We start from the raw sequence: 23,092 nt of genomic DNA, 5'->3' as shown, positions 1-23,092 counted from the left end.
GAGATCTTTTCATCTCAGCCTCTCGAGTTGCAGGGACTACATGTACATTCCACTACTCCTGGCTCTTCTTTTACTCCTTTTAAGCATGATTTCCTTTAGTTCCTTGAGCATATTTATAATGGCTGCTTTGAAGTCTTAAATCTTCAACTCTAGTTGCTATCACAGGCAGTTTCTGTTGCATGTTTTTTCCCCTGTGTTTGGGTCAGAGTTTCCTGTTTCTTTGCATGTCTCATGATTTTTTTGTTGGAAACTGGATGTGTTAGATAATATATTGTATCAACTCTGGGTACTGACCTATCTTCCAGGCTTGTTATTGTTATTTGTTTGTCTGTTTGTCTGTTCATTTTAGTGAACTCTATTTCACCCCCACAGTATGAAGCTTCTGATGTGACTCCATGGAGAGTGTAGCCTTGGCATGCACCCTGTCACCACAGGATGATGGTGGTTTGGCAGGGCTCTCTTTGTCTCTTTCCTGACCACACCTAGCCATTAAGCTGTGCTTATTGTTGGATGATTCCTGTATTGTTTTCAACCATGACCTGGGGCATAAATTGCTTCACGGACTGGTTTAATTAAATTTGGCATCCTTTACAGCAGGGGTATCCAATCTTTTGGTTTCCCTGGGCCGCACTAGAAGAATTGTCTTGGGCCACACATAAAATACACTAATGCTAATGGTAGCTGTTGAGCTAAAAAAAAAAAAATCTCATAATGTTCTAAGAAAGTTTAAGAATCTGTGGCCCGGCGCGGTGGCTCACGCCTGTAATCCCAGCAATTTGGGAGGCCGAGGTGGGCCGTCTCAGGAGTTTGAGACCAGCCTCGCCAACATGGCAAAACCCCATCTCTACTAAAAATACAAAAATTAGCCGGGCATGGTGGCAGGCATCTATAATCCTAGCTACTCGGGAGTCTGAGGCCAAAGAATCTTTCAAACCTGGGAGGCAGAGGTTGCAGTGAGCCGAGATCATGCCACTGCACTCCTACCTGGGCAACAGAGTGAGAATCCATCTCAAAAAAAAAAAAAAAAAAAAAGAAAGAAAGTTAGTTTATGAATCTGTGTTGGGATCCATTCAAAGTCATCCTGGGTCACATGTCCAACCCATGGGCTGTGGGTTGGACAACCTGGCTTTACAGGGATTGTTTTTTAGGTCAGTGTTTGAATATTTTTCTTACCTCAGGAGGGCTCTTCTTAGCTGTTTATTTCTCTGATCTGAGTAAACTGGCTGGCCTATTTAGCTCACATCTCTAATGAATCTTCTAGTCTTCTTTTAACTGCTTTTTAACACACCCTCCATTGTTTTGAAAGCAGCCTTAGGCTTGAACTTTCCCACACTTTGTTACAAATGAAGTCTGTTTCTTTGGGGAGAGATTCTGAACTCTGTTTTTTGACCTGCCTCTTCCCCTGGGCAAAATCTCTGAGCCAATGCTCTGGATGGAGACAATGGCATGTTTTTTCAATGTGGCACCATTGCTTTAGGGGCTGGGTAAGCAACAGAGCATGTGCAGCTGTAGCCTTTGTTCTTCATGACTTGCTTCTCCCAACATTGGACTTGTGCTGAATGATCCAGGAATAGGTGGTCTGGACCCCAGTATTCTCAGTGTCCCAGATCAAAGGTAGAACATCTATCCCATGAGTGGTAACTGAGCAGAGAAAGGGAGCCCCCATCTCTTGACCACACTTGGCCAGAACTTAGCCTGTGCAAAGGGCAATTGGGACAGGATGAGAAATACTGAAGTCCCTGTCCTTCCTCGGAAGATACTACACCCCTTTGGGAACTCTGAGGAGAGGGAGCCCTGTGTACTCATCTGCACCTATATGGAGTGGAGCTGAGAACATGTGGAAGGGAGTGGCCCATGGTTCAAACACCACAGACTCTCATGATTCTGAGTTTTGGTATATTTTCATTAAATGTTTATTTTCTGTATGGCTTTAGAACCATTTCTAGATGGCTCTAAAGTACTTGTGATGGATTTTGCTGTTTTTTAAAATAGTTTTGTTTGCAGTGGCAAATTCTTACAGGTCTGCAGCAACCTCAGTTCTTGCTTCCAAGAAGGAAAGAATTTGGCCGAGAGGCATGAGGCAGAGTGAGAGACTGAGGCAAGTTTTAGAGCAGGAGTGAAAGTTTATTGAAAAGTTTTAGAGCAGGAACGAAAGGAAGTACACTTTGAAGAAGGCCAAGCGGGTGACTTGAGAGATTCAAGTGTGCTGTTCAGCCCTTAATGTGGGGCTTATACATTGGCATGTTTCCAGAGTTTGCATTACTTCTACCCTGATTCCTCTTGGTGGGCTGTCCCCATGTTCAGTGGCCTGCCAGTACTTGGGAGGGACCACATGCACCGTATGTTTATGGAAGTTGTGTGCATGCTCACTTGAGGCATTCCCTTATCCATTGAGTGTTCCTAGAGAAAGGTCATGTACCAGTTAAACTCTGCCATTTTTCTTCTTAGTGCACATGCCTGATCCCACTCGTCCAACTCCTGAGATCTCATCGGGAAGCTGCTGATCACCAGCTTCAGGTGTCTTCTATCTATTGGGAGACCGCTGTCCCCTGGCACCAGCTGCAGCCAATTGTTATTTTAGAGAAAGTTTAACAACTGCCTGACCATCACCTGATGGTCACCTGACATTTCTGGGGGTTGGGGGAGCCTTTCCTGCCCTGCTCATGTCTCCCTAGCTACCTACTCTAACAATTTTACTGGGGAGTAGGTCCACTCAAATCCCTAGGCTGCCATGCCAGAAGTTGGTCATTCCCAGATCTTCTTTGCCCTCTGGATGTCCTTAGTGGGAGTCAAAACCCAGCCCACAGTCTGACTGAAGTCTTCCAGATATAAATGTGGTATCAGACCTGTGGTAGATTGTCTGCAGAGATGACCAGAATCACTCCTCACATCCCTCCTGTCCTTAGGAGGAAGAGGCTGTTTCTCTTCCTTTGGAATCTGGACTGACCTTGTGACTTGCTTTGACATAGAGAGTGATAGAAGAGACACCGTGATAGTTCTGGGCCTAGGCCTTACGAGAGCTGAAAGCTTCCACTTAACTCTCTAGGAAGTCAGCACTGTGTAAAGAAGTTCAGTATAGATTACTGAATTAGAAGAGATGCCACATGAAGAAGAACAGAGCACCTGAGCCAGCACCCAACCCAAAGACTCCAGACATTTGAATGAGTGCAGGTGAAGGCTGAGCCATCCCAGACAGCTCCCAGTAGTTTGTGCCATCTTCGCTGAGGCCTTAGCCTTGTGGATGAAATAATCTTGGATCCCATAGCCCTATTTGAGATGGCTCAACTGACACCATGTGGAGCAGAGATGAACCGTCCCTGCAGAGCATTGACCATATTCTTGACCCACAGAAGTATGGGCAGTAAAGTGGTTGATGTTTTAAACCACTAAGTTTTGGGGTGTTTTGTTTGGTAGCAGTGGATAATAGAAATAGGTTTTCAGTTTCCTGTAGCAGAAACTAGTCCCTTTGAATTCCCTCGTTCAGCCTGGGGACTCACAGTCTTACAATGACCCTTTCCAAAGGACTTCCTCACAAGGTCCTTACTCAGTGCTTTTTTGAGAGTTGAGATTTCATTTTAGAAATATACATCTAGGCCAGGCTCGGTGGCTCATATCTGTAATCAGAACACTTTGGGAGGCCGAGGCAGGCAGATCACCTGAGGTCAGGAGTTTGAGACCAGCCTGGCCAACATAGCAAAACCCCATCTCTACTAAAAGTACAAAAATTAGCCAGGTGTGGTGGTGGGTGCCTGTAATCCCAGCTACTCAGGAGGCTGAGGCAGGAGAATGGCTTGAACCCGGGAGGCGGAGGTTGCAGTGAGCTGAGATCATGCCACTGTACTCCAGCCTGGGTGACAAGAGCAAGACTCCGTCTAAAAAAAAAAGAAGTATAGATCTATTGTATTGTAGCTTCTCAGTCAGAACCTCATTTTAAACATACTCCTACATACGTATTTATTTATTTTCATATTATCTGTGTCCACTAAGAATGTAAGATCCTTGAGGGCAAGAACTCTGTTCACTTCTGTATCCTAGCCCTAGAATAGTACATGACCAATAGTAGGTGCCCAGTAAATATTTGTGGGATAAATGGCTACTTTGTGTCAAACAGTGCACTAGGCTCAGTATGATCTCTAGTGTTGTCTCGATTACTCATAGTGGACTCTCCAGATGCCCCAAGCCAGATCTCAGCCTGCTTGTTTTCAGTGCAGCTGTGGTGGATGGTTTCACCCATCATTGCTAGCATGCCTCATCAAATGTGCCCCATTCTCTCTCTCACTGTTTTATTTAAATAATTTTATCTCTCTTGACTTTGCTGCCTCCAACTTCAGAGCAGGAGAAGGCTGCCTATCCGTACACAGGTGCAACCCTGAAGCACTGGGAGTTGACACTACTTGGGCTGCCCTCACTCATGGGCAAGGGAGCCGGGGAGCAGATCCCCTAGCTTCTCTGTCCTTCAGCAGACAACTGTGAGACATGTTCTCCATGGTCCCTCATATCCCCAGCAAGATCGGGCCCCAGTTGCCCAGGGTATTAACTAGTTTTTAACACATTCGTTCTTCCTTCCCTTCCTTGTCCTGCTCTTTATACGCCATCATTTGCATGTCCCACGGTCACCTTCCAAAGAAACCACCTGTCCTAAGTCTTTATCTCAGGTTCTGCTTTCAGGGGAACCCAAGTAAGAACACTTAGGTTCTCTTGTCACAATAACACATGAGGTAGGGGGTATTAGTTCCATTTTATTAGGTAAGAAAAGTAAGGCTTAGGGAGATTTAAGTGTCTGGCTCAACATCACTAAGCTAATAAATGGTAGATTTAGGATTTAAACGCAGGCTTGTCTGAACTCCAAATTATGTTCTCTTTCCACTGAACCATGCTGCATGACCTTGGAAAATCCCTCTGATTGCTTTCAGCTTAGTGTCTTCATTTGTTGGTGGGATCCAATGTGGGTTTGCAGAGTCAAGTGGCCACAGGGCACAGCAGGGGCTGTGGCTGGCTGGAGAGCCTGTGCCCTGTCCAAAGCAGCCAGCTGCTCCTTGGCCTCAGGTGGTCAGCCTGTGTGGGAAGGTGAGCCCAGTGCCCCTGCGTCTTCCGCCTGCATATGAGAAACCGGGCACCAGACTCACGTGAAATCTCCCAAGTTTTAAATGGTGGCAACTAATTCAAATGTGTCTTAAACCCTGTGCAGACTGGAAAGGGACCCAAGAGAACTTTTTAGAGTGATGGAAATGTTTTATATATTGATTGGGGTGTACACGTTTGGCAAGCCCCAAATGGTACATTTAAAATATTGTGTAAGGGCTGGGTGCGGTGTCTCACACCTATAATCCTAGCACTTTGGGAGGCTAAAGCAAGCAGATCACTTGAGCCCAGGAGTTTGTGACCAGCCTGGGTAGCATGGTGAAACTCCATCTCTATAAAAAATACAAACACTAGCCAGGCGTTGTGGTGCGTGCTTGAATTTCCAGCTACGTGGGTGGCTGAGGTGGGAGGATCATCTGAGCCAAGGGAGGTCAAGGCTGTGGTAAGCCATGATCACACCATTGTACTCTAGCCTGGGCAACAGAGTGAGATCCCATCTCAAAATAAATAAAATAAAATATTAGGTAAGTTATTGTAGGTGGGATAGAATCATAGAAAAAGAAAAGACCCCATGTGTGGCAATCAAAATATGTTCTTTTAAGTTTCTTTTTTTTTTTTTTTGAGATGTAGTCTTGCTCTGTTGCCCAGGCTGGAGTGCAGTGGTGCAATCTCAGCTCATTGCAACCTCCGCCTCATGTGTTCAAGCGATTCTCCTGCCCCTTGAGTAGCTGGGACTACAGGTGCACGCCACCATGCTCGGCTAATTTTTATATTATTAGTAGAGGCAGGGTTTCACCATGTTGGCCAGGCTGGTCTCGAACTTTTGACCTCAAGTGATCCACCTGCCTCGGCCTCCCAAAGTGTTGGATTACAGGCGTGAGCCACCATGCTCGGCCTCTTTTGAAATTCTATAATAGTCTATGATTAATTACATGTAACAAGCAGTTATGGAGGAAAATGGAACTTGTTCCAGAGCATAGTTGAGGTTCACTAAGGAAAGTCCATCACAAAGTTTGACAAAGGAAATTAACCTCTCTAAGAACATATGTTCCATGCTATCATTTTTCTTTCTTAGTCTCAGGAGAATCATCCAGATGGCGGGGTTTCTCTTCTTTCTTAGGGTACTGGAGAAGACAGCTGGATCACATCTCTGCTCACCTCAGGTGTTATGCTCAGAACAACCCTGAATTCCGGGCCTTGATTGCAGAACCCAGGATGGGAAAGGTGGGTGAGATGAAATTTCCACTCCACAAGTGTCCACGGGATCAGGCTGAAGGAACCCTCCATGGACTTTGCCTGAAACTGCATCTTGCCTGGCTCCTTTCCCTTTCCTGCTCTGCTTTCTACACTTTCTTACTCTTCTGCCTTGTGAGCTCTGCTCTAATAAATCACTTGCACATGAATATTGTCTCAGAGTCTGCTTCTGGGGCACCTGACCTAAGACAATAAAATTCTGAACATCTCATGCTCAGATGTCACATTGGAAATTCTAACAGTCAGAATGAAAGGTCCCAGAACAATTTAATCCATCCAGATCGTGCACTTAAATCATACACTGTTAATATATAGCAATAGTGACATAACAGCTGCCATTTTACAGTGCACCCAGCATCAGCATTGTATTCATCATTCTTGCCTTCACAGCAAACCTGCAAGGGAGGTGTATTACCTTTGTGATCACTTTAAAAAAAATAACCACAAATTCCTTGACTGTCTTCCCCTCAAATGGTAGAATCTGTGTCCCCTCACCTTGAATCTGGGCGGGTCTGTGACTGTTTGACTAACGGACTATGATGGAAGTGATGCCATGAGACTTCCAGGGCTTGGCCACATAAGGTCATGTGGCTTTCTCTTGCTTGGCACACTCACCTCCAGCACTTCTTGGAGCTCAGCCACCCTGCTATGAGAAGCCCAAGCTACATGGAGTGGCCGCATGTAGGTGCGCCAGCTGAACCCAGTCCTCGAGTCATCTCTGCTCATGAGCCACATGAGTGACTAGACTCTAGATGATTCCCGCCCCCAGACATCCAACCACCTCTAGCCATTTGAGTCTTCCAGCTGAGGCCTCAGACATGTGGAGCAAAGACAAGCTATCTCTGCTATGCCCTCTCTGAATCCATAGCATAATAAAGTGGTGGTGGTTTAATTTCACTAAGTTTGGGGTGGTTTTTCACACCGCAGTTGATAGTCAGAAGAAGCCTTATTTGACACCCAGGAATTTTGAAGCTCAGAGAGGTTTGGTGACCTGCCCAAGACTACACTGCTGGGTCTCATGGGGTTCAAGATTTGAAGCAGATCTGTCGGACCCTGTCAGAGTCCCATGTCCTTTCTTTGATACTACATTGCCATTATAAAAAGACAGCTCTGTGAGAGGACCTTTCCTCTGTTTGTCGCAAGACTAGAAGGAACTTTATGAAATAGGCTGTGTACTCTTCTGCTGCCAAATAGGCCAACATCAAGACGATCTCATTTTCCAGTATTACCCAATTTCCTTTGATAATCTATTTTGGTAGTTTATGAATTTCTTCAGCCTAATCCAGAGATCTGCAAACTGTGGCGGTTGAGACAAATCTGGCCCGCTGCCCAATTTTATAAATAAAATTTTATTGGATCACAGCTGCACCCATTCCTTTACTTATGTGGCTGCTTTGTGCTATGACAGTAAAGTATTCACAATACAGAACATATGGTCCACAAGACCTAAAATATTTACTATCTGACCCTTCATGAAAACATTTCTTGTCCCTTGGCTTAATCTAAATTCCTATTGCTACTTACACAGAAAGCTGCTCAACTGTGATACTTGTCCCTTAATTACCAAGCCCTGTCCCCGCCCCCTACCAGGATATCTTTTCCAAGGTGATAACATCTAGTCATGTAGTTTGATTAAAGTGCATCTCTTGAAGAATGCATAGATTTGGATCTTGCCTTTTTATTCAATTTGGCAGTCTCTTTAGAGTAGTTTATTTATAATTAGTAGAGTTTAGATATGGTTGGATTTGGATCTGCCATTTTGTTCTTTGTTTTCTATTTATCTCGTCTAGTTTTTGTTGCTCTGTTTTTCTTTTCCTACTTTCTTCTGTGTTAATTAAATATTTGGTTAAATTTAGAGTTTGACATCTCAGAATTTGTACACTGTTACTTAAGGCAATGAGTCCCACACCCACAGTTATGAATTCTCTCTACAACTCTTTTAAAAGCTTATCTCTGCTACTGTCCACGAAGATGGTTGTGAAGTTAGCATCAGACTGAATTATAGTCAAGTCTCAAACAAGGTGAGTAAGCCTCCAGAAGTTATTCATTTGAGAACTGACCGATTAGTAAATTGAGACAATTTATAGAAATGCTTCTGTGTAATCCATAGAAAGGAAAAGTTTCACACATTATGAAATGCTACTAGAGGCAAGCAATTTCATAGAATTAGATAAACAAGTTAAACCTCAGACAGGCACATGAAGATATAGTGAGAACAGGAGTTGTTCTGTAGTTCTCAGGCTTATTCAGACTCACTGAAGTCTGATGGCATGTCTGTGATATAATTGATTTGGGGAAAGACTAACAAAAATATTTGCTGATATGCCCTTTGACATATTTTCTTCTATAAAATAAACCAAACTTTGTGGCCATGTGTCCTTGATCTTCCCTTTTATATGGTGACGGGGGCATTGCCACAGAGCCTGTAAATGTGTTTCAAACATTAATTGATTGACATTAGCAGCTTTAGTTTCACTGGACAAAAAGTCAGAATAATTAATCAATCAATTGAGAAGCCAAGGAAAAGGAGGGAAATTAACATTTATTAGGCCCTGGCAAGGTGCTAATGGTGTTGTTGAAATTGGGATAGAAGCATGGGCCCTGTCTAACTCATGGGGAGGCTGGGAGTATCTAACGAGCTAATGCACATGAATGTGCTTTGAAACCAAATAAAGCACTAACTGCTCTTTTTAATTGTTGTGACTAGAGCAGAGCTTGGGTCAGAGAGGAACTTCAGGGGAAGGGAAGTGAGAGAAGCAGGTCAAGGAAGGGGAAGGGACTGAATGAGCAGGTAGACAAAAGCAAAGTTGAGCTTTAGCCTGATCCAAGGGGAACTCTGGAGAATGAATTAAACCACAAAGTTGTCCCCAGTTGAGGCAAGGAGGAGAGGGAGCATGACCTCTAGGGCAAAGCAGCATCCACCTACTGAGGGCACTTTGCTGGGGAAGGAGGTCCAGCAGTAAGCTCTTAGCAGCTACACAACAGCTGGGGTGAGTAACCTGGCCAGCTAGTGGGAATGGGGCAGGCCACCAGCAGCACCTCCAATGTGCTAGCTATCTCACAAGTAGAATTGGAGTAACTGTTCCCAGGTCATTGTTTTGTTTTGGTTTGGTTTTGTTTTGCTTTGTTTTGAGACAGATTCTTGCTCTGTCAACCAGGCTGGAGTGCAGTAGCACAATCTTGGCTCACTGCAAACCTCCCCCTCCTGGGTTCCAGCAATTCTCGTTCCTCAGCTGCCTGTGTAGCTGGGATTACAGGGTCACACCACCACACCCAGCTAAGTTTTGTATTTTTAGTAGAGATGGGGTTTCACCATGTTGGCCAGGCTGGTCTCGAACTCCTGGCCTCAAGTGATCACCTGCCTCAGCCTCCCAAAGTGCTGGGATTACAGAAGTGAGCCACTGCACCTGGGCCCTAGGTTTAATAAATCTTTTGTTAGCCTGCATGTTCTAGTGTTCAGGAAGTAGCAGGCTCTTCCCTGGGACAGGAGCAGGCAGCCACGTGAGGGTGCAGGGGGATCAGTCCGGGTGCACACAGACTTCTGTGTCTGGCCTCATTATGTAGACGCCCATTTTACTGCATTTTGCTTTCACGACATGCCATTGAGGTAGGTCATATTATTTCCACTTTCCAGGTGAGGAAACTGAGGCTCAGAGAAGTTAAGCAACCTGCTTCTTCCAAGGGCACTAAGTTAGTAAGTGGCAGACCCAGGATTCACACTTGGCAGCCTGAGACCTTCCCATCATGACACCCTAATTCCAAGACATTGAAGGACTTTAAGCAGAGAAATGACACAATCACTTATAAAGGATCTAAAGGTGACTGGGACAGCCACATGCAGGGAGGCTGGCAGACCCCTGTTGAAAGGCTATTGTGATGGTCCCAATGTGAGACGAGGGGGCTGGGGCTTCAGGGAGGGAGAGGAGGAGGGGCCAGACTGAGCCGCGGGTAAGGGGCAGAACGGACAAAGCATGCTGGGGAGGTGAGGAGGAGTCAGGAAGGACATCCAGGTCTCAGGCTCCACTCTCTGGGTAGGTAGAGCTGTACTTAATAAGGAGGAGCAGGTTAGAAGGGAGATCCTTCTTTCTAGTGGGACAAAGCAGCCTCATCATTCATGGTGTTTAAATGTTTTCATTGGCCAGAACCTTTACCTGAACAAGGCAGTGAATTTCAGCGATCACCTTCTGAGCAGTGCTGCCGAGGGTGATGGGGGGCTGTGCGGCAGCAGGTCCAGCTGGGGTGAGTTATTCCCTTCTGGCAATTTTAAAACAACTGACCAGGAACACATGGACTTGGCAGGTATAGCAGAGAACTGCTAAGAGTTTGACAGCCCGGTCACAGATCTTGCAGTTATGTTCCAGACGTTTTATTTCTCTGGCTTCTCTGAAGTCAGAGGTGAGACTTTTGAAGTCCTTTACAGGGCTTGGGGAAATTCATTTGTGGGGTGCACTTTTGGACCTAAAAACCGAAGTCCCTCTTTTCCTCTCCTTCCCACCCTTCCTCTGGTTCCTGGACAGGAGAGTGGCTCCAGGAGTCTCTCCTGCCGGGTTTAATCAAATAGAAATTTCTATGATAGCCATTTTATCCTCTGACTTTTGAGGGACGTGGAAGTAAGAAATAACTGTTTGTGTGGGGAGTTGGGGGAGGGGCATCATTTTTTTCCCCAACTGTGTCATTTCAGTGAGTGACTACAGCCAGAGTACCTCAGATACTATTGAAAAAATCAAAAGGATAAAGAATTTCAAGACCAAAACTTTTCAAGAAAAGAAGGAGCAGCTTATAGTAAGTGTCTTTTTTTGGTCCTTGTGGATGTTGTCTTCAGCCTGTGATTTTCAGGTTTTATTTTGACCTTTTTTAAAATGGAAGAATAATTTCTCATTTTCTGTTCCTTTTTTATGAGGTTTCTCATGGCATCCTTGTCCTTTAGACTTCTTTAAAGTATCTCAAGATTATGAATTAGAGTTATTTCAAAGTTCCCATCAGTTTCCTGAATCATCTCTGTGTTTCCTCTGGGGTCAGTTCTGTCTGCCTATCTTTCGACTTTGGTTTGCCTCAAATATGGAACCTTGGTTGTCTGGTCGTTTGACAAATGAAGACTAGTTGGGTAGTGCAGATGCTGGCCTGGTGCCCAGCATGAGGATGGACCCTGAAGTCCCTGTGTGAGTGGACAGGCATGTCGTGGACAGACGTCCCTGGAGGGAGTGTGGGCAGGGAGCAGGAGAAAGCCTTCAGATCCCCTGTGTTGCTGGTGGAAAAGGTCTTCCTCTGGTGGTGAGGGTGTTGGTGTGTGAAGCGCTCTCACGGGTTTCAGCTTGGGATGAAGCTTTTTTCCTTTCCCTCTACACCCTCCCCTGTGTCTGTCATGGAGGTCTAGGCTCTGCCCTTCTCCTTTCTTGGGCCCCAGTGCACCAAGTAGAAGCCTTTGTTGGGCAAATCTTATGCTTTCTGCGAAATAGTTATCAGGGCAAAGTGCACAAGCCTCCTGCCCTTCTTACATGGGGAAGAAGGGGTAAGGCACTAGCGATCTCAGCTATTCACCACGGAGCCCTTAATAATCTACTCATGCATTCAGGCTACGCCCAACACCTAACCTCCATATGGATTAATTTAAGCTTCTGCAGGGCTCCCCTGGAAAGAAAACACTCCTACCTCTGGTATCTTCAGCTGGATTTTTGTTGGTTTGGTTTGGTTTGGTTTGGTTTGGTTTCCCTGTCAGATTTCATCTACTTTCAGTCTTCTTGGAATTTCTCAAAATTACTAATTCACCGATGGTCAGTACCGTTTTAGAGTTTCCCACATCTTTAGAGTTTTGTGTTTTAAAAATATATGCCAAGAATAGTTCTAAAAGGAGCTTTGGAGAAAAGGGCAGTGGATGCCACCTGCTCCATCCCCAGCCTTGCCTTTTAATTGGTCCTCCTTGGCTGCAATACAAAGAACAGATGTGATTAGCAGCAAGTCCCAAGGCCTGGGCCCGGGTCCGAGCTGGACACTTGCATGATGCCGTGTGCTTCCCTCCATGTGTGGTTCCAAGGCCAGGCCCTCAACGCCGCCTTGTCAGTGCACTAGCTGCCCAGCTTGCCTCCTGATTCCTCTGGAGGCAGGGACTCTGTTCTTTATCTTTTTTTTCTTCCCACCACATGCTTTGTATGTAACAAACACCAGTACATTTGGAAAGAATATGTTAGAATTGTTTCAACTTTTGTATTTTAGGATTTCTTGTACTCACCACCTTCTCCCAGTTTGAAATATTGTTATTGGGTATAAAAGCATAGAGTTCCATAAACTGAACAGCTTACAATTTGGGAGACTCTACCTATTTACTCTGTGTATAACCTGAATCTTCCACTGTATATGGCTTTTTTTTCTCATTTGCACTTAGGGGATAAGTATCAGAAGCTGTAACATTTGTTCACTCATTCAGTGATTATTTTTGAGCACACGTGTACCAGGCACTGTTCTACGTGTTGAAAATAAAACCTAAACAAAAGACGTAAAGGTCTCACACCTCCTGAAGCTGACATGCCTACTGCATTCTAGTACACATTTCCATGAGGAATGGAAATCAGTGTAAACAAGTGCTCCCCAAGACCCCTGCTGGGGGTTTACTGATTAGAGTACTTGGTTCTAAGCTATTCATCAGTAAGATGGGGACAGCGAGAAAGGAGGCAGCACCGCCTGGACCAGGCATCATCTTCTGAAAGGCTCAGAGGCCTTGACCAGTGTCCTCATGGCCATGGCTTCACAGGAGCAAGGACAGGGAAGGTATTATTTCCACTTTACAAATGGAAATGGTGGTCCTGTGACCACCCCACAGCCATGCCCGGGATCCAGAGGCAGAAACATACTAAAAGCAATGTCTCTTGCTTTCTAAACAGCTTCCTTCAGTCTTTCAGCATTTGAAATTCTTTATATATAAAGATGAATTTATGGCATTTAAAAATATAAAAAGATAAGTTACTCAGCCAGGCCCAGTGACTCACGCCTGTAATCCCAGCACTTAGGGAGGCTGAGGCAGGCAGATCATGAGGTCAGGTGATCGAGACCATCCTGGCTAACATGGTGAAACCCCATCTCTATTAAAAATACAAAAAATTAGCCAGGCATAGTGGCATGTGCCTGTAGTCCCAGCTACTCAGGAGGCTGAGACAGGAGAATTGCTGAAACCTATGAGACGGAGGTTGCAGTGAGCCAGGATCGTGCCACTGCATTCCAGCCTGGGTGACAGAGCAAGACTCCATCTCAGAGAAAAAAAAAAGATCTTGAAATTGCTGAGAGCTTTTTCTTTGTTTTGTTTTGTTTTTTGAGACAGAGTCCCACTGTGTTGCCCAGGCTGGAGTGTAGTTGTATGATCTCCGCTCACTGCAACCTCTGCTTCCTGGATTCAAGCGATTCTCCTGCCTTAGCCTCCCAAGTAGCTGGGATTATAGGCAGCTAACACGTGGCTAATTTTTATATTTTCAGTAGAGACACGGTTTCACCATGTTGGCTAGGCTGGTCTCAAACTCCTGACCTCAAATGATCTGCATGCCTTGGCCTCCCAAAGTGCTGGGATTACAGGTGTGAGCTACTATGCCCCTCCTTTTTTTTCTAAAGAAGAAGTCAATTTATTGGCTCATTCGTTCCTCAGGGGAGTATATTTTCTGAACTGTCATACTTTGGCTGACCTTGAACACTTTATAAAGTATGCAAAATAAATTTTAGGATTCACCTGATTGCTTTTCCTAGAGCTCTAGTCATAATAAAACTAGTGTGGAGTTTCTGGGTTTTGTGAGGTTTCTCATGGCATCCTTGTCCTTAATATAAAATAGTGTCCATGCGGTAACCTTGCCTGAAGCAAGGTTTTGGAGCAGCAAGATTGATATTAGATGTGGATATTTGTGCTGTGGGCTATTAAAGACCACTCACACACTCACACATGCACACACTCATAGTCACCTGTCCTTGTGACTTAGAATTCAATGTTGGAAAGAAAGTGTTTGCCTTGAGTGAATATTTTGAAGTGGGGGAAATGACCACATTCTGTAATCCTGCAGCCTGAAAACAGACTCCTGCTGAAGGAAGTCGGACCCACGGGGGAAGGAAGAGTCTCTGTGATTGAACAGCTGCTGGATGAGGTAAGTGTTGCCAAAGGAGCCAGTCTCTCTGAAGAGTTCAGCCTGGCATTCCACCTCTGTCTCCTTCAGATGAAAGTTTTGTTCAATACTGTGAAAATTACACTGCCCTTTGATTAAAAACCCGGGATATAGTGAATGGCTAGTCAAAAGCTTTATATTAATTGTTCCCTGTTGCTAGTTTTTATATCAGAGAAAATAGGCAGAGAAGCACAGATGAGACCAAGGAACATGCATGAAGCTGGATAGAATCTCTGGCCCATGACCCCATATTACCTTTATCCTGGGTTTCCTAAAGAAGCAAGGTTGTCAGGGTGCCTGCCCTCCCCTCCCCGCCCATGTGGGGAACAGAAGTTTTGTCACCTGGGTAACTTTGTAGCTCTGTTCATCGTAGATCAGGTCTTGAGGTTCCTGATTCTCCTCTCCTTTGATCTGAAAGCACTTTAGTTGCATCAGCTCTGTAAAGGACATCTGTTATACTTCATAGGATGGCGACTGGATGCTGTTGAGTGCAGGGTGTTTTGGAGAGTTTGTCCTTTTCCGTTTGCTGCAGGGAGCAGACCCCAACTGCTGTGATGAAGACAATCGACCCGTCATAACCGTGGCTGTTATGAATAAGCACCATGAAGCGATTCCAGTTCTCGTGCAGAGAGGAGCAGACATCGACCAGCAGTGGGGGCCGTAAGTGAAACACATTGAAAGGAGAGCTAAGGTAGCAGCAGGCTGACTGCTTGGAGCTCCACTGCAGCAGAAGCGGTCTACACACACACCCTGTTCAGTTTCAGCCACTTTAACCATTTTAACCTATTTCAGCTTTAATAAGAGGCTTAACGCCTTCTGTTTTCCATAGCTGGGTAAAGCGAAATTTTAAAAATGGACTGTTGGATTGCCTAATTTAGTGGCTTTTATAAATGATGATACATTTTGTTAATTCATAAACTTATACTGTGTGGGGCCAGTAAATCCTTAGCCCTTGGGGTGTTAATCAATGTTTTCATCATGAATCGTGAAAACACCAAGGGAAGACAGACCTTAGTGTATTCCCCATGAAAATATCCCCATGAAGTTAATGCAGAAAGAAAATATCATACGGTTGTCTCCAGATCTCACACCACTGCAGAGGAGACTGGTACATCTGAGGTCACCACATGGTCTCCTGCTGCCTTGCTTTCCCACCCGTGATACAAAACAGAAAGGTACCAAGTCCTGTTACTTACCCTCCCAGTCTTGGTCCACTCCTGTCCAATAACCTTCTCTTCTAGCTGTGTGCTTCTGTTGTTCTTTCAAAAAGTACTTTGAAAATATGGGGTGAAAATTCCTTGAGCATGAGTCATTCATGTTAACTTCTCATATCTTGCCGACTACGTTGTTGAAATGAGTCTTCTAGGGACATCACAGGCATCTAACACTCCTACCTCCTGAAGTCTTACTAAGGCGAGGTCAAGGTCCGTGTCAGTGGAACATTCTGCTGTGTACTTCATGCTACCACGGAGGCCAAAATTTCAGTAGCTTTGCTTCTGTTATTCTCTGTTTCAAAACTGTCTCTAGTGTTAGTGTTCAAAATATAATCCTGTTAATTTTTCTATATGCATTTTACTAATGTCTGCATTTTAATAGCTTCTACCCCCCTTTTGTTAGTTTTATTTTACAGCAGAATGTTTGGTGTGTTGGTGTAAAGCTTCGATGCTTGGAATTTATTTTCTCAAGTTTTCTTAGAGTTTACTGTGTCAACTTATTTATTTATCCCACACTGTTGTATTATTGTCATTATTAATAAAATGGTGCTGCCTTGTTTTGTGTTAAGGCATATTTTATATTTTTATAATTCAGAAAAGCTTTTTAAATAGCATTTAAGTATGTTTGTGGTTGATACAGAAATTACTTGAGCGCATTTTGAATTGAAGTGTAAGCAGCGTGAGTCCTGGCTTTATGAAGAGTCCAGCTAAGAGGAGGAAAGTGCCCTGGGCATTGAACAGATTGCCTTTTTATTTTGCTGTGCCTCAGCTTCCATGTTTGCTTCACCACCATTCTGTAAATTGGCATTTATCCACATGTGATCTCATTGCATGTCTGTAAAGTCTGACACTGCGGTTATACCTGTCTATCTGAATGGTGTGTAATAGCCTTTGTCACCCCCCTGCAGGATCATGGTGACTGTGGGCAGTATGTAGCTCACATGGTTGTGGGGAGGAAAGCTAGAGGGTTGGCCCTCTCTCACGTAGAGCACAGGGATCTCTTCTTCCTTTCCAGTGCATGCCAGTAGAGGAAAGTAGCATTTCCCACTGAGAGCCACATTCTGCCAAGTCTGGTTTATATCTGTTAGTTTCAAGAGTTTGGGCCTGGATCAGCCCAGCCTCTGCCCCATAGCTGGACCTCTGTAGACCCAGGAACATGGCCTCAAAGTTCCATCCATCCTATTGCTTTTAGGCATAAGTCATCCAGAGATCTGGTTTTACTGTAAAAGAGGCTCAGCGAGTTGTTCCTTAGCAAACAAGAATTAAAATGCTGTCTCCCATCTGAGCATGTTTGGCTAGTGGAGCCTAGGTGGTCTCTTCACCAGGTAACTTCCATTAAGTAGCTTGGCAGGTGGCAGAAAACTCTTTCCTAATTTCCTAGTTCCATGTTTGTATCATTCCTACCAGAATGAACTCATATTCAACAAAAGGGAATGGCCAGGAGAAATTCACATCCTCCACCAAAGCTCATTCCTCTTACTAGCAAATTTCAGAAACACAGGCTCAGGATCTCACTAGGTGAGAGGCCCAGAGAAATGCTGTTTGCTTTTGGACAAGAGCTGCCCTTCCTCACTGCATTGGCGATTCCAAACATGCCATCCTCTGGCTCTGCCCCAGTAGCCAGGTGAGGAAGATGCAAGCATCAGTCTACTTCTTAGAGGTTCAGCTGTGGACATTTATTCCATTAGGTAATTTAAGGAGAGAATGTACATTAATCTACCATGATACTTAGATTTGAGTAAATAGTTTGAATTGTTTGTATATGAATAGTAAAGTTTCTTTAAAATACAAATTCCATGGCAGAGTCACCATTCAGCATTTTCCAAAACTGAACTGTGGATACATAGGAAATAGCCAGCACAGAAAATCTAACCACCAGCAAACCCCCCATGCAATACATAGAATGAACCCTCTGCTCTCAATATGGGGAGAATTGTGAAGAAAGAAGATCTTAAGTCTACTTAGGAGATGCGGCAACCCTATGAATATATCCCAGTTCAAATGGTGAATGCTTTATAAAGGCCCAAGGAACCATAGGGGTGAAGTGACAGAGAGTTAAGCTCTATGCCACCAGTGAGGAAGAAAGGATGAAAGATAAGGAGGAAATCAGTCTTTTCCAGACTAATTCCAGTTAAACCTCTTTCTTTTGTAAACTGCCCAATCTTGGGTATGTCTTTATCAGCAGTGTGAAAATGGACTAATACACTGGCACACAGCATAGCCCATGAACATTCTATGGCAAATTCTTCATTTGTGACCTGTTTTTTCTGAAAGCATTTATCCTTGATGTTCTGAAATTCCACAAGGGTATTTTTAGATGTGCTGTTTTTGATTCACCCAGTTGGCCTTTTCAATTTAAAAAGTCTTATCTTTCTTTAGGTTAGGAAAAATTTGTTCTATTATCTCTTTGGCATTTTCTCCCCTCCATTTTTCTATTCTCTTTCTAGAACTGTTAGTTGGACAGTGGATGGCTTGAATTAACTCCATATGTCTGTCTTTCTTTTCTGTTTTTCCATAGTTTCATCTATTTTTTTCTCTTCTATCTTTCGAGAGATTTTCCTAACTTTGTTGTCCATTCTTCCTATTGAATAATCGTTATTCTTTCTAGGAGCTGCTTTTGTTCTGATTGTTTCTTTTTCATAGTCTCATACTTTTGTGCAATATTATCTTGACTCATTCTGCAGATACCAGTTAGATTTTTGTCTTGTTTTAAATTCCTTGTGTTTGTGTATCGTGGTTTTCTCTTTGATTCTACAGGTTTTTCTCAGATGTCTGTGAACCTTTGTTGTCCATTCACATTTGAGAATGGAGTTTGGGCTACATGACTGGTAACTCTGTGTATAAGAGAACGGCTTTGTCAACCAGGAGGCTTTCTGGGTAGATGGAGCTACTCCCAGGCTAGGACCCCTGGGTCCCAGAAAGTGAAAAGCTTCCCTCTGATTCTCACCAGCGGTTCTCTTTATCTTCATCAGAGAGGAAGCCACTCTCCTTTTTCTCCATAGGGATCAATGCATGGCTGCAGGCACATCTGCAGGTGTGGAGGATGAGGGTGATGGCGTCAAAGGAAGGAGCAGGGGCAGAGAGAGTTCAGACCGTCAATGCCTATTCATTTCTACTTCCAGTCATGACTCCTGCCCTCCTTCACTCCTGCCACCTCTGCATAGGAGCCTTTCAGGAGTCCTGGCGCCACTCCAGCCTCCATTTCAGTTGCCCACTCCTCCCTCACTAGGTCAAACCTGACCAGGAAATACGGAGAGAAACCCTGGCATTGCAGCAAAATATGCTGTGTCTGACCTCTCAGGCCTGCCCCCTGGTTTCTAAGATTGGTGTTTATTTTCATATCATGTAAGCCCAACTCACTGGAGCCAAGGTCATTTTCCCCACACAAAAATAGGAGCTTCAGCCCTGAGAAGCTACTATCGTGCCCAAGAGGTCCAAGCCAAAGTTAAGACTGTGTCCTCCCAGCACTTTGGGAGGCCAAGGCAGGTGGAGCACGAGGTTAGGAGACCGATACCATCCTGGCTAACACAGTGAAACCCCGTCTCTATTAAAAATACAAAAAAATTAGCCAGGCATGGTGGCATGTGCCTGTAATCCCAGCTACTTGGGAGGCTGACGCAGGAGAATCGCTTGAACCTGGGAGTCGGAGGTTGCAGTGAGCCGAGATCACACCACTGCACTCCACCATGGGTGACAGAGCAAGACTCCGTCTCAAAAAAAAAAAGACTATGTCCAATATGTTGCATAAACTCTTGCAGGCAATTTAGAACAATGGTATTTATTAGCATTTATTAAATCAACTACCAACCATATCCTTGTGGGTTTCTCACATTAAAAAATGAATGTGTTTATAACCTTTGCACTATCTAGTATCAAAGCTTACCCTCCATCACAGTATTCCTCCAAGAGAAAGGCAGAGAGAGGAGACTCAAGAGGTTTCCCAGGTTAGTTAAGTAGGTCGGTGAGCAAAACCAGGACCTTGGGTCACATGCATCCTCTCCAGTTTCCTGATGATGCTAACTAAGGATTTATCCAGGATTTTTCCCCCCTCATTAGGCTCAGAAATACAGCTCTTCATGAAGCAACTCTGCTTGGCCTTGCAGGAAGAGAGAGCACCGCCACTTTACTGGGGTATGTCCCCTGGCCTCTGATGGATACTTTTGAGGGCCACAGGGATCTCCCTAATGGCCTGTGATGATTTTAAGAGGGGCCTTGGTTCCTGAACTGCTGTCCCTGTCCATGGGGACCACCATCCCACCATGGCTTCCGGGGCACTGAGGGCTTTTCAAAGCGCAATGAAAATGTTGCCCCCATTAAACACACTCAGTTGTAGGACTTTAATGCAATGGGAACCAATGGCCAGGATTTGCAATTGGACATTTTGAAATCACAGAGCCTCTTTAAAGGTTTCAGGGTAGAGCCACCTCTGAGAACTGAAGTCACTGTGACCTCTTGGGGAGAGGTTTGGGGAGGTGGGACCAGGAGGGGCCCAGCCTGGCCTCCATGGCAGGGTAGAGTCAAGCTCTTAGGGTCACATGTTCAAGTCCTTCAGTGCACCTCCGTTTCTCCATTTCCTTTGCAGATGCAATGCAAGCATCCAAAAGAAGAATGCAGGAGGCCAGACAGCATACGACCTGGCTCTGAACACTGGAGATGACCTTGTCACCTCACTCTTTGCTGCCAAGTTTGGCCAAGGGCTTGAGGACCAACTCGCTCAAACTAGGAGCCTCAGCCTGGATGACTGTTAGCCCTGAGGCCTCCACGGGACTTCATTTAAGAATACGTGCATGGCTGGCACAGTGGCTTACGCCTGTAATCCCAGCACTTTGGGAGGCTGAGGCTGGCGTATCACCTGAGGTTGGGAGTTCAAGACCAGCCTGACCAACATGGAGAAACCCCGTCTCTACTAAAAATACAAAATTAGTCGGGCGTAGTGGTGCATGCCTGTAATCCCAGTTACTCGAGAGGCTGAGGCAGGAAAATCGCTTGAACCCGGGAGGCAGAGGTTACAGTGAGCCAAGATCGCGCCATCGCACTCCAGCCTGGGCAACAAGAGCAAAACTCCATCTCAAAAAAAAAAAAGAATATGTGCAGCTCTGGCTATTCTTTAATCATGTCTTTCTGAAATGTGTATTTGAGATTAGAAATTGAGGTTGAGAGGAACTCAGGAGATTTTTTTTTTAAATCATATGACAGTATAAGCCATCAGTACTAAATGGACAGCTCCCAGTATACTGTGGACTGTGATAAACTGAATGTATGTTTTTTAATGGTTTATTGCTGCAGGTTTTTTGTGTATTTGATTTTTAGTTTTTAACTTATTTTTCAATAGGTAATAATTGCACATGGTTCAAAGCTAAAAGGTATGAAGTATTATGTAGGGATACGTCCCTCCCATTCTGTCCCACAGCCACCACCTCTCTCCTCAGCCAGCAATGACATCAGCGTCGACTTGCCTTTCCCGGGGTTGTGCAGAGTTAGATATGCACATACATGTGGTATAAGCACATGTACAGAGGAGTACACATAGCATATAAACATGTCTGTAGCACATATATATTCTTTCCCCTCTTTTAAAACAAATGGTAGCAAACCAACCACACACTGTTCTGTATCTTGCTCTGTTTGCTTGATACATCTTGTAAGTGGCTCCTAATTACTATGTAAAGATTGACCTTATTTAAATTTTTTTATGTTGAAATCATCAATATTCCCATCATTATGGTGTGTTCTTTGATTGACAAATCAGCTCTCAATAAACCACTTATAAGAATGTGTAATTTTGACTCATTCCTTTCTTCACGTCATTATTTTAATCTTTGGGTGGTAATGCTGCAGTTCTGAAGTCCCTAACTAGTTTGTGTTAACATAAGTAATAGAATATTTATTAATTTGCTATAATTAATTCAGCACAATAAGTAATGGGCCTTGTTGAGGTGGTTACTGTTATCACCACCTGCTGGGTGGTGATACTTCCCTAGACTGGGCAGCTGTCTGTGGGAGGACAGAGGGTGCAAAGTCGCGGGAACACAGGCCCCTGGGCAGGCACCGCCACTGCTCCTACCCCTATCAGCCCCTCAGCCACTCGTGTAAGGGAGGCTGCTGCATGGTGGCCAGTGTCCAGGGAGACTGGGGAGTGTGATCATCTGGTTTGGGGCCTGTGGTGGTTTGCCCTGTGTCAGCTTGGCTGGGACTACTTTGCCCAGAATTCTCTTCCCTTATGGTTCTCTTCAGGGTTGGCCCCAAGAAAAACTGCATGAGATTCAGAAGATAGAAGAAAAGCAACAGCAGTCATGCTTGGATGGTGGCTATAGGGCACCAGGTGCCTCTGCCACTCACATCCTGTGTGAAGGAAGGGATGGAAGTGCTTGCCACCGCCAAGCAGCAAACCCTGCCTTTGGGATGGAAGAGGATGGATGTTTATTGGGATCAACACTTGTGAAAAGATGTGCAGAGGGAGAAGTCTAGTGGGGGGTAATGGGGTTCAAGGCCATTTTCCCCAGACCTCAGGGAGCAGGGAGGGCCTCATGGACCCGTGGGTTCTAGAAACAATTGCCTTGGGGTTCTTGGTGGGGAACTTTTGTGCCCTGAGTGCAGGAACCACGCTTTTAACGCCTCTTAGGTTTTCCACACTCCCTCTTGGAGGATTCTACCTTCTGAAACCAAGAGGCCCTTCCAGTGCCGGCTGGCCAGACTCAGGGATCTGTAAATCACGCATCTGATGTCTCATGCTAGGGTCCTTTCCTTTCTCTAAAGCTCACAGCCTACATTCATCACCCTTGAATTTCACTCTTTCAGAATCAAACCTCCGTTAAAATAGGACTAAAAAGTGAAAAGGCAGCCTAATATTTAACGCTTTCTGATGAAATCCTACAGGGTCACATAAAATGTTCTATTAATATTAAAGTACATATTTTCAGGAAAATTAAACACATTTTAAGGCAGAACATTTCTGATGTGAAAAATCATGTTGTTTTTTGTCCTTTCTAAAGCTTTCTTTTTCTTTTCCTAATGACAGGGCTTGTTGAGGGAACAGAGCCACTTTAAGTGAAAGGGAATGAGATTTTTAAAACTTTTTTATTTTTTAGAGACAGGGTATCTATCTCTCTGTCACCCAGGCTGGAATGTAATGGTGTGATCATGGCTCACTGCAGCATCAAACTCCTGGGCTCACGCGATACTCACCTCAGCCTCTAGAGTATCTGGGAATTACAGGCACAAACCACTGCCCTCAGCTAATTTATTTTATTAAAAACTTTTTTTTTTTTTTTTTTTTTTTTTGTAGAGACAGGGTCTCCCTATGTAGGCTGGTCTCGAACTTCTGGGCTCAAGTGATCCTCCCACCTCAGCCTCCCAAAGTGCTGGGGTTATAGGAGTGAGCCACCACGCCCAGCCTGGAACAAGGAATTT

The 23,092-nt window shown here is 44.6% G+C and overlaps 1 protein-coding gene and 1 long non-coding RNA gene across 32 annotated transcripts in view, besides 1 other annotated feature; one reads left to right on the top strand and one right to left on the bottom strand.

Annotated features, from left to right (window-relative positions):
• Positions 1-21,462, top strand: part of DZANK1 (double zinc ribbon and ankyrin repeat domains 1) — an 83,664-nt gene extending 62,202 nt beyond the window's left edge. For 28 of the 31 annotated variants that reach the window (NM_001367617.1, XM_017027915.3, NM_001367613.1 and 25 more), the window contains 8 exons: positions 6,203-6,306; positions 8,283-8,357; positions 10,479-10,575; positions 11,018-11,118; positions 14,370-14,450; positions 15,001-15,128; positions 19,739-19,813; positions 20,265-21,462. In NM_001367617.1, the coding sequence (NP_001354546.1) occupies positions 6,203-6,306; positions 8,283-8,357; positions 10,479-10,575; positions 11,018-11,118; positions 14,370-14,450; positions 15,001-15,128; positions 19,739-19,813; positions 20,265-20,430 (827 nt within the window). In that variant the 3' untranslated portion in view covers positions 20,431-21,462. Of the gene's footprint in view, positions 1-6,202; positions 6,486-8,282; positions 8,358-9,970; positions 10,155-10,478; positions 10,576-11,017; positions 11,119-14,369; positions 14,451-15,000; positions 15,129-19,738; positions 19,814-20,264 lie in introns of those variants that run through there. The other 3 variants (NR_160274.1, NR_160273.1, XR_007067462.1) reach the window with 2 other exon arrangements.
• LOC124904877 (uncharacterized) lies at positions 4,720-15,005 on the bottom strand. Its single transcript, XR_007067546.1, has 2 exons — positions 14,811-15,005; positions 4,720-5,095 (listed from the first exon to the last, which is right to left on the bottom strand). It is a non-coding gene; the product is annotated as an uncharacterized LOC124904877 (long non-coding RNA).
• Positions 14,705-15,904: an enhancer, noted in NCBI's record as "BRD4-independent group 4 enhancer chr20:18369569-18370768 (GRCh37/hg19 assembly coordinates)". NCBI's record gives its function as "activates an origin of replication core promoter dependent on BRD2, P300/CBP, MED14 and CDK7 cofactors, and independent of BRD4, by STARR-seq in HCT116 cells {active_cell/tissue: HCT116}" and the evidence as "EXISTENCE:reporter gene assay evidence [ECO:0000049][PMID:35650434]".
• Positions 21,463-23,092: the final 1,630 nt, after the last annotated feature.

The sequence above is a fragment of the Homo sapiens genome, chromosome 20 (genome assembly GCF_000001405.40).
Source record: "Homo sapiens chromosome 20, GRCh38.p14 Primary Assembly".
Classification (NCBI taxonomy): domain Eukaryota; kingdom Metazoa; phylum Chordata; class Mammalia; order Primates; family Hominidae; genus Homo; species Homo sapiens.
The sequence above is the reverse complement of the archived record's forward strand: the minus strand, read 5'-3'. Positions and strand labels throughout refer to the sequence as shown.